Source organism: Homo sapiens, chromosome 8 (genome assembly GCF_000001405.40).
Source record: "Homo sapiens chromosome 8, GRCh38.p14 Primary Assembly".
NCBI lineage: Eukaryota > Metazoa > Chordata > Mammalia > Primates > Hominidae > Homo > Homo sapiens.
The window spans coordinates 85920858-85929685 of NC_000008.11; the positions used below are offsets into that span (position 1 = coordinate 85920858).

Sequence of the window (8828 nt, forward strand, 5' to 3'; positions counted from 1 at the left end):
TTTAAAAAAAAAACTCCAAAATACATATATTGAGTATTTTTTTTTTGAGATGGACTTTCACTCTTGTTGCCCAGGCTGGAGTGCAATGGTGCAATCTTAGCTCATTGCAACCTCCGCCCACCCAGGTTCAAGCAATTCTCCTGCTTCAGCCTCCTGAGTAACTGGGACTACAGGTGCGTGCCACCATACCCTGCTAATTTTGTGTTTTTAGTAGAGACAGGGTTTCTCCATGTTGGTCAGGCTGGTCTCGAACTCCTGACCTCAGGTGATCTGTCTGCCTTGGCCTCCCAAAGTGCTGGGATTAAAGGCATGAGCCACTGCGCCTGGTCCTGTTTTGTTTGTTTGTTTGTTTGTTTGTTTTAATGATTGAGTAAAGCAGAAAGGTTCTCTTCTCAAATTTGGCAAGAACCAATGTTCATGGTTTCAAGAGTATCACTACTGGCAGCAATAAGGGCCCCACTGCAATGAAGGGGTTTTGAGGGAAGAAAATATGTGTGGAAGACATATCTGCACAATTTTACACACATTTTCCAAAATTATTTTCTCTTAACGACAGACATAATTCACACCTATATCTTCTCAAAACCCACACTTCTAACAGGATCTGAAATACAAGACAAGCACTCTGCTGTGGTTTGGATATGTTTTGTTTGGCCCCACCAAGTCTCATGTTGAAATTTGATCCCCAGTGTGGGAGGTGGGAGGTGTTTGATCACAGTGGGGGATCCCTCATGAATGGCTTGGTGCCATTGTCTTGGGAGTGAGCAGTCTCTCACTCTTAGTTCCCATGAGAACTGGTTGCTGAAAAGAGCAAGAACTGGTTGTTGAAAGAGCACCTCCCCCTTCTCTCTCTTGTCTCCTCCTCTCCATGTGATCTCTGCACACAGTGGCTCCCGTTCACCTTCTGCCATGAGTGGAAACTTGCTGAGGCCCTCATCAAAAGCAGATATTGGTGCCATGCTTGCTGTACAGCCTGCAGAACCATGAGCCAAATAAACCTCTTTTCTTTATAAACTACCAAGCCTCAGCTATTCCTTTATAGCAACGCAAATGGACTAAGGCATAGTCTTATGGAAAAGCTACTTGCAGGCCAGGCACGGGGGCTCAAGCCTTTAATCCCAACACTCTGGGGGGCCAAGGTGGGCAGATCATTTAAGACTAGGCTGGCAATCTTGGCAAAACCTCGTCTCTACTAACAATACAAAAATTAGTCTGGCATGGTGACGCATGCCTGTAATCCCAGCTACTTGGAAGGCTGAGGCACAAGAATTGCTTGAGCCTGGGAGGCAGAGGTTGCGGTGAGCTGAGATTAGGCCACTGCCCTCCAACCTGGGAGACAGAGCAAGAATCTTTCAAAAACAAAAAACAAAACAAAACAAAACAAAACCGCAATCTACTTGCAGAAGTCTCAGGAAACATATATATAAATCCATATTAAATGTCATGCAGGGTATTTGTATTGTCATCTATTGTCATCTATGTCAAGCCTGCATTTCCCCTGTGACTCTCACATCACCAAATGCTTGACAATTCTACTCAGGGACAAAGGCATCCAAATCATTTCAACAGCAGTTGCCAGCATTGTATTCTGCATCCCCTCCAAGACAGCTCTCACTTTATAGACCTTTTATCCTATTCCCAGGGTTCCTCTTCCTCCCTATACCAATCTTTATGGCGCATTTCTATGAATCAAAATGTTCATATGTGAAAAGGAAAAAAAAAGAACATATTTTTCTTTTTTTAAAAAATGAGATAGGAGTCTCACTATGTTGCCCAGGCTGGTCTCAAACTCCTGAGCTCAAGCAATTCTCCCACCTCAGTAATTTTCTTGTAATTAATATGTGATGTGAATTTGGGAGGCACAAGGGCAATGAATGAAAGCTGGTAAATATTATAGTCAACATCTATATAAAAAGCAGCAAGATTAATACATGATAAAAAGATACACCTTCTTCCCCTGATTCCCTCAGAACTATATTTGTTTCACTAACTCTCCTCACAGACTGAGAAAAACAGACTTATTCCTTCTTTACATTTGCATTGAGCCATGAAATCATGCCACAATTACTCAGGGAGGCTACCTGCTTTGATCTAAAAGAAAAGAGACTCTTGTGAGCCTGTAATTACCAAAAAATAAGGAGAAAATTGATTTGGTTGACATTTCTACAGCCATTCATTGTCTTTAAAGAGACTGTTATTTAATGAGATTTCCAAATTTCCAATAACATTCCCAGAGAATTTCTATTTGAAGGTGTTCCAGTCTTCAAATACGCCAGCTTCTCCCAATAACACTGTGAAGTCTCTATTAACATGCCCAGTTTTTATAAGTGAGGAATCAGAGCTGAAGATAAGTGAGGTAATCTGCCCTTGAATGTACAATATTAGGTGGCCAAGCTGGATTCAAGCCATATTTCTGATGACCAGCCTCATGTCCCTGATCATGTAGGTCTATAACACCTCTGCAACAATTAGAAACTGTCCTGCCCACACAAGGTTCCAACTCAGCCGGTATTTAAGTTGCTGCAAGTTTGGCCCTTAATTCTTATTTATAGCTCTAGTCCAGCATTTCTGAAATTGTGATTACCAAAATATAATCAATATTCCTAGGAGAATGATGCTCTGTTAAACAAAGTCAAAGAGTCCTCTTCACTTAGAACTCCACAGAGGCTTTAAAATGCATATATACATTATGAATCACAAAGAGAAGGAGAGAGCAGGCAGTTTCCCAAACTTGATGACTACAAAACTCTTTAAGAGTGTATGTATGTAATGGGGAGAGGTGATTGGGGCAGGTGAAAATATTTGTTACACTCTCAAGAGACACTAATATTCCACAAACAAGAAGATTAAATGTAAGTAACATTTGTGTTTTAATTTGAAACAAAGTTTCAGTGGCTTAGAACTTTCTTTTCTTCACCTTTCAACACTCATATTTTTGTTGTGGTTGTGAAAACAGCTTGACCAATTTTAAATGGAATACTAAGGACACGAAATGTTTTTATTATTAAGAAACAGTTCTGTCCTTTGCAACTATATTCTTTCTTTAGTTTGACTTTATTTATTGCTCAGGTTGGTAGCAGTGATGAGGATGGAGGGAAGGATGGGAGTGATGTAAGAAGGAAAATATAAAAAAACTCAAATAGGAGATGCAGAAATTGAAGAAATATGCAGAAATTGAAGTCAGTTACTTCTGCCAGGTAGATGTTATATCTCTGAGGCTAACAAGATGATAAAATTCTAACACTGTTTTCTTGTCTTATTTATAATGTTCTACATTATATGTGATCATGTAAAAAACATTAGTATATCCAGTGATACAAAATAATTTGAAAAGAAAATTACTATGATGAGCTAAACACCTTCCTGCTGCAAGTCTGGCAGGAAAAGCTGCCTTCTAGTGGTCCTTTATCTGGCTTTGGATAAGAGAGAAGATCTAGACACTGGACATTTCTCTGTCTTGTCAACAATCCTCAGAACCACCTTCTAAGCAATTTCAGCCCTGTAAACCACAAGCATGCAAGAAGGCTCTGCGTGACACTCATAGAAAGACTCTTAAAAGACATTGATACTTTTAAATTTGATTTAGTTTCAAAAACAGAATAAAGATTATAATTACATTTGATTTAGTTCCAAAAACGGAGTCAAAAATCTTAACCTTTGACAAGACCTGTGTAAAGAAGCTGAGGTAAGCATTTCACATGGAGAGAGGGATCAGGAATTCAGAACATTCCATAAAGAAACTTTGAAATTCAGAGCAAGTAAAGGGCAGGGCTTTACACTTATTTGTATTATGATAAAATATTCTGTTATCACATCTGGAGCAAGGCACTCCCAGCTTGCTGAGGAATTTTCCTGGCACATCAAATATGTTTAAAATTGGATGTAACAGGAATCAAGTCTTCATTGTTTTACTACTGCTCCTCCGGCAATATTAGGTTCACATCTAATGTAAATGTAAATTTTAATGCTTAGCTGGTTTTGATGCTGACTCTACAGACAAGTCAGTAATATTGTTAAAGGGTAATGTATGAAAAAGTTCACTTCATGCTTTCTTTAAAGTGAAGGTTTAAAAAATGCAAAGGCAGAAGAAGGTCTGAAGTAAAGGACTGAATGAAGGACAGAAATCAGATCATGTTCTGAAACATTCGTCTGAGTGCCATGGAAGCCAGGAAGTTGTAGCTGACCGAAGTCCTAGTGCTTACCCTAAGAGAACCACAACTTCAGGGAGACATTTTAGGTTCTTCAGGATGAAACCTTTGGAATAACCCGAAGCTGTAACAGATGGTGTGTTTGTCATTTTTGTAGTGTCATTGCAGGCATATTTGGAAAGCCATTCTGAACTTTCACTTCAAGAACCACACGGAGAGTTATTTCACAGTTCAGTGCTGTTGGGTTGCAAGCCTGAGCACAGCACACGCTTTGAACCAGCATGATGAGATACACCCCGACTGCCAAAAATCCAGAGCTGGCAGGAATTCCCACAGTTTCCTAAGCCAACTTTGTTCAAGGCCCACTCCATCCTAAAAGAATCTGGTTAACAAAATTTTGCTTCATTTACTAGGTTTGTTTGCACGAATTATCTCCTACTGAAAAAGCATGGGATCCTGAGTCAAACAGAACAGGGTTTGAACTCTGGCTCTGCCTCCTACAAGCTGAGTGTTGTTGGGCATATTAAATCTCCTTCCTGAACCTTAATTTCTTTCTTTATAAAGTGAGGGCAATAACGTCATAAGTGAAAGGACTTCAAAGAGGAATACGTGAAAAACGTGTGTAAAATGCACCTGGAAGAATCCCTAGTTCATAGTGGATATTCCCTAAATGTTCGTTCAACTTCGAAATTTTTAAATATGATTTTATTAGGGGAGAAGAAAACTAGCTTGTGGTTAAATGTTTCCCATCCATAGTTACTGACTAAAAGATAGAACTACTAAAGTTATAGCCAAGAACATCATTTTCCCTAGGGCATATCGATAAAATCTTGCAGTTTGCATTACGGAGGTATTAGGAGGTCATGCTGGTTAATAGTTAAGCTAGGCAACAATTCTATTTCAAATCAAATCCTCATTCTAATGCCTCTTAATTGGGTAATCTTGTTATTTAATCTCTCAGCGACTTGGTTTTCTCATCTATAAAATGAGAATTATATTAATCACTACCTTATAGGGTAGTTTAAAGTGTCTAACATACAGTATGTATCAAATCTACATCAGTTTTTCTTTGAATTACTATTAGTTGTTTCATTAAAATTATTAGCAATTATTAATTGTTCTCTCTGTATTCATTAAAATAACTAAGATTACACTGGGCTAACAACCCCAAAATTTCAAGGGCTTTAAACAACAAAGGCTTTAAAAATTTTATTTATTTTTTTTTAGAGGCAGAGTTTCACCCTGTTGTCCAGCCTACAGTGCAGTAGCGTGATCATAGCTTACTGCATCCAAAAACTCCTGGGCTCAAGTGATCCTTCCGCCCCAGTCTCCCAGGCAAGTACCATGTGCCCAGCTAAGTTTTTAAAAATGTTTTCTAGAGATAAGTCTCGCTGTGTTGTCCAGGCTCATCTCAAAATCCTGGCCTCAAAGGATCCTCCCACCTCCCAAAGTGCTGGGATTACCAGCATGAGCTACCATGCCCAGCTGACAATGATTTCTTTCTAGTTTATGAAAAATGACCAATGTGGTTTGGCAGGAGCTCAGCTTACTGTTCTGTTCATCATAGACCCTCACAGACACATACTGAAGGGGAATCCATCTTCATGCATGCTTACATCATTACTGTAGTAGCAGAAGAACTCTAGAGGGTCTGGCATTGTCAATTAAATGCTTAATTCTGGAATTGAATCACAACCCACTAGATAGAACCAGTCACACATCCTCACCCCAATACAAAGGAAGGGACTGGGATGTGTAATTCTCCCATATGCTTCAATGAAGCAAGAAATCATATACTGGTGCATAGTTAGGAGTCTACCACCTTCTTCAATTGCTTACTTTAAGAGTTTTCCTTACTTATGCTGGCATAGCATAATTAAAAGTAATGGCAAAAATTGCAATTATTTTTGCACCAACCTAATATTTGGAGAAAAGGAAAAAGAAATATTTCCTCTTCAAAAATAGAGGATGGACCAGGTGCAGTGGCTCACGCCTGTAATCCCAGCACGTTGGGAGGCTGAGGCAGGCAGATCACTTGAGGCCAGGAGTTCGAGATCAACCTGGCCAACATGGTGAAACCCTGTCTGTACTAAAAACACAAAAATTAAATTAGTCAGTCGTGGTGGTGCACACCTGTGGTCCCAGCTACTTGGGAGGCTAAGGCAGGAGAATTGCTTGAGCCCAGGAGGCGGAGGTTGCAGTGAGCCAAGATCATGCCACTGCACTCCAGCCTGGGCAACAGAACAAGGCTCCTTCTCAAAAAAAAAAAAAAAAAAAAAAAAAAAAGGATGAGAAGTCTTAAGGAAACAAGAAATGAGTAAGAAAGGGTGTTCATTTATTTCTTTATTTTCATGTTACTTAAATAAAGGAAGGAATAGCTATAATTGAGCTCTAGATTCTTATAACTCCTAAAATAGCTGAACATAAAATTATTTTAAAATCAGATAAATTTATGTAAAACAAAATGAGAATAATTACTAAAAAATTCATGTAAGGAATAACTTTTGCCTTAGTTATCAACAGGAACTATAAATTCTCTATTCACATTTTATACTACAAAAATATTTTTTTCTTTCAAGATTAAATTGTTTAGCATGGACGAATCAGGTTCTTCTCCATTATCTAAAACTGATCAGGAAATTAACTCTCCAATGAATATTTTTGTCCTGGTGGCCTGTGATACTGAGAGGTGAAGCCAGCTGAACTTCTGGGTCCAGTGGGGAGTTGGAGAACTTTTCTGTCTTACAAGAGGATTGTAAAATGCACCAATCAGCACTCTGTAGCTAGGATTGTAAAACGCACCAATCAGTGCTCTGTGGCTAGCTAGAGATTTGTAAAATGGACCAATCAGCACTCTGTAAAACGGACCAATCAGTGCTCTGTAAAATGGACCAATCAGCAGGACATGGGTGGGGACAAACAAGGGAATTAAAAACTAGCCACCCCAGCCAGCAGCACAACCCACTTGGGTCCCCTTCTAGGCTGTGGGAACTTTATTATTTTACTCTTCACAATAAATCTTGCTGCTGCTCACTCTTTGGGTGTGCACTACCTTTAAGAGCTGTAACACTCACCACGGAGGTCCACGGTTTCATTCTTGAAGTCAGCGAGACCATGAACCTGCTGGAAGGAACCAACTCTGGACACAATACTTGGTTTCACAAGAATCATTAATCTATTCCTAGAATCTGACACAATACTTGGTTTCACAAGAATCACTAATCTATTCCTAGAATCTGACAAGTATCACATAACTATAAAGACAATAGTTTGTAAAATGACAAAATGTAAATACTATGTGTTGATATATGCATACTACATATCCTCTGTGGACTTTATTACTAATCCACAAAATATCAAAAACCCAAAACCCGTCGCCAAGCTAACCTCAGAATTGTTTAGCCAGGGCTGGTTCATCTCTGTGTGAAAGAATGATTTGAAAAACTTCAGTTCAGGTTTCCACAAGATTCTTCTTTTTCCTTTCAGTAGCAATAAAATCCAAACATTGTTTCTGATTTTACTTTTTCTTCTGATTCAATCTTTAGAATTACTTACAAAATTGATGTTAAAAAAATCTGAAGCAATCTTTGTTCAAGATTATTCAAATTCCTTCCTTTTCACTCCCCATTAGCTCATGATTATTGATACATATTTGAAAGCTTAGACTGTGGGTTTTTCGCTTTGCCACGTTTCTTTTCAACACTGAAGACATTAAGCAAAAGGTGGCAATCGTCCCCTGCTGACAGATAGAACATGATAGAACATACTCCTTTTTTTTGTTCAGTAATCACAACATTACAGCCTATTCATGAAACCACTTTACAGACTGTGATTTTTGAAAACTCCTTTTATACAAAAAAAAAAATCACATATAAAAGGAGTCCTGTCCTATTGAGTAACTGCCACCCAGAGCTGGCAGTCCTCCGTCACAAATGAAAGTCTTCATCCCTTTCCCATCTGGCAGGCGCAACAACTGTGATGATAATCGGTGCCACTGTGGTGGTGGCTTTTGTGTCTGCCCTACTCTTTCTGCCTGACCCACCCCAAAACCTGCCAAGTCTTTAGATCTTCTGTTTGGAAGTTCGTTAACTGCAAATTAAATGCAAAATTGTATCTATACTTGCATATATATATATATATATATATATATATATATATGTATGTATTTATATATGTATGTATGTATATTTCTGCAGAGAAGGCATTTACTTCTCATCAGCTACTCAAAATGGATTTATGACCCCCCAACATTTTAGAAGCCACAGTAATTGTTAGGTTTTCATTACAGGGCATGCAGCCATTTAGAACTCGTGGTATGTCCATGTGGGGGCTGGAAGGCAGTACCAGCTGTAAGTGGAGATCCAGGCTGACAGGTGGATGTTGCATGCAGGTTACAGGCCCACAGCTACAGATAATATCCAGAAAGTTGAACCTAAGCCACAAGATTTCCCAGTGGCCCAGTAGAACCCTGTAGCTGACATTTATGTGGCCGATCTGACAGACAGACAGCATCAGGGTAGTCTACTCACAGCTGGCAGCAAAGCTGCTGGACTCAGCCTAAGTAGTGACAAGAGGGACCTTGGGACTCAGGACTGGTCAGAGGAGGACAGTGGGTTTTACATACAAAAAAAGCTCTCAATAACAAGAATCAAAACTAGGGGTTGGGCGTGATGGCTCACA

At 39.2% G+C, this 8828-nt stretch overlaps 1 annotated feature.

Annotated features, from left to right (window-relative positions):
• Window positions 490-1116: an enhancer, noted in NCBI's record as "OCT4-NANOG-H3K27ac-H3K4me1 hESC enhancer chr8:86933576-86934202 (GRCh37/hg19 assembly coordinates)". NCBI's record gives its function as "activates a minimal SCP1, AML or CMV promoter by ChIP-STARR-seq in naive and primed H9 embryonic stem cells {active_cell/tissue: H9 hESC(naive and primed)}" and the evidence as "EXISTENCE:reporter gene assay evidence [ECO:0000049][PMID:30033119]".